This window comes from Homo sapiens, chromosome 10 (assembly GCF_000001405.40).
Source record: "Homo sapiens chromosome 10, GRCh38.p14 Primary Assembly".
NCBI classification, from domain to species: domain Eukaryota; kingdom Metazoa; phylum Chordata; class Mammalia; order Primates; family Hominidae; genus Homo; species Homo sapiens.
This window is the reverse complement of record NC_000010.11, coordinates 44,182,106-44,183,938: the sequence shown is the minus strand read 5'-3', so window position 1 is coordinate 44,183,938 and position 1,833 is coordinate 44,182,106. Positions and strand designations below refer to the sequence as shown.

At 38.4% G+C, this 1,833-nt stretch overlaps 1 annotated feature.

The window, feature by feature from the left end:
* Positions 1,384 to 1,553: an enhancer, noted in NCBI's record as "experimental_12892 CRE fragment used in MPRA reporter constructs". NCBI's record gives its function as "activates a minimal promoter by MPRAs in K562 erythroleukemia cells, with activity observed for the non-introgressed 10:44677919 variant allele {active_cell/tissue: K562}" and the evidence as "EXISTENCE:reporter gene assay evidence [ECO:0000049][PMID:34662402]".

Genomic DNA, 1,833 nt, shown 5'->3' with positions numbered 1-1,833 from the left:
CAAACACACATGAGTCACATTAAGCAACAGGACCTCCCATAAATAATTTTGTGTTGACTCTGCAAAACGCATGCTGTAGTGCCAACCAAGTTCACAAAGCTGTTGCTCAAGGAGTCTGTTTTTTTTAATTTTAAATAATAGCTCTGCATTGCCTGGAAGAATGTTATTTACATTCCCAAATTTAAGGTTTGTGAAAGAATTTGCCATAACAGAATTTGAAAACTCAGCAAGTTTTTAGTTTTGTGCTCAGTTTTTTAAGTTTTAAAGTTTCCTTCAACTTCAAACAAAGCCAGTTCTCATGTCCACATATTGCATCTAGCTCTGTGCAGAAAATAATTAATAGTTAGACCTCTGTTTAAAATCTGCCTCCACATTTATGCAAATCACATACATTCTCAGCATCTTGGTGCTTTCAACTCTTACATGGGGGAAAGGAAACTAACTCATGCATAATTTTTATGAAGACTAAAAGAGACTTAAACCATGCATGCTATACTTGTTATTGGATAAAAGGCTGCAAAAATAAGAGTAGATACCACTTTTGTTGGGCAGATATTTACTAGGTACTATGCACTTTACATATATCCAGTTTCCTCCCCAGTACATCTTGGACTTTTCAGGAGGATGAACTTTGAAGAAACTGCCAGAAATTTAGGCAGAGAGCCAGATGGAGAACCAGAGGGTGTTTAAACAGGGCCACGGGAGAAGATACAATATGAGATCAGGGATGGATATTGAGTTCTAGAGAAAGAATACTGAGATAAAAAATGAAGAAAGTCTCTTAGACTTGTCACACACAATTTTGGCAGCATTACATTGGCCAAAGGTAGACTGGCCTACATTCAGGTTGAAAAACAAGACAATTTGGCCAAACGATGTCTAGGTCAAAAACCAAACATTTAATAACTAGGTCATTTTGGATGCATCCTGGGGAGTAGTTTTGCAAACCTTGATCTACCTCTAAGAAGTTTTGCCAGTTTCTCAGAAACTTTTTTAATGGTCATAAATGTGTTTAAATTTTTACTTGCTATTCTGTTCTGTTGCTCTGTTGAAATTTAAGTAGTGAAAAGGTAGAATAAATAATGCTCATCAGTAGATTTTCTGAGACAATTTCTCAGACAAATAGTATAGTTTAATTTGTATAAGGAAGGCATCTAAGGACATAATATTCCAAGGTGAGGCTGAGGGTTGTCCTAAGGTGGGTGGGAGTGTGGGAGATTTGGTTGTTCTTTTGCTTTCCTGTATTGTTCTCATTTTTATTTTTATTTATTTATTTTATTTTATTTTTTTGAGATGGAGTTTTACTCTCATTGCCCAGGCTGGAGTGCAATGGCACGATCTTGGCTCACCACAACTCTGCTTCCTGGGTTCAAGTGATTCTCCTGCCTCAGCCTCCCAAGTAGCTGGGATTACAGGCATGTGCCACCACGCCCAGCTAATTCTGTATTTTTAGGAGAGACGGGGCTTCTCCCTGTTGGTCAGGCTGGTCTCAAACTCCCAACCTCAGGTGATCTGCTCACCTTGGCCTCCCAAAGTTCTGGGATTACAGGCGTGAGCCACTGTGCCCTGCATTTTCTCATTTTTAAAATGAACTTGGTTTCCTTTTGTAATAGAAAAAAAAGAGTAAATATAAAAAGAAAAACATCTGGAATATTCAGAGATGTTTAAAGATTTTTTAATTTTTATTTATTTATTTATTTATTTATTTATTTTTGAGACAGAGTCTCGCTCTGTCGCCCAGGCTGGAGTGCAGTGGTGTAATTCTGGCTCACTGCAATCTCCACCTGCCGGGTTCACACCATTCTCCTGCCTCAGCCTCCCCTCCCGAGTAGC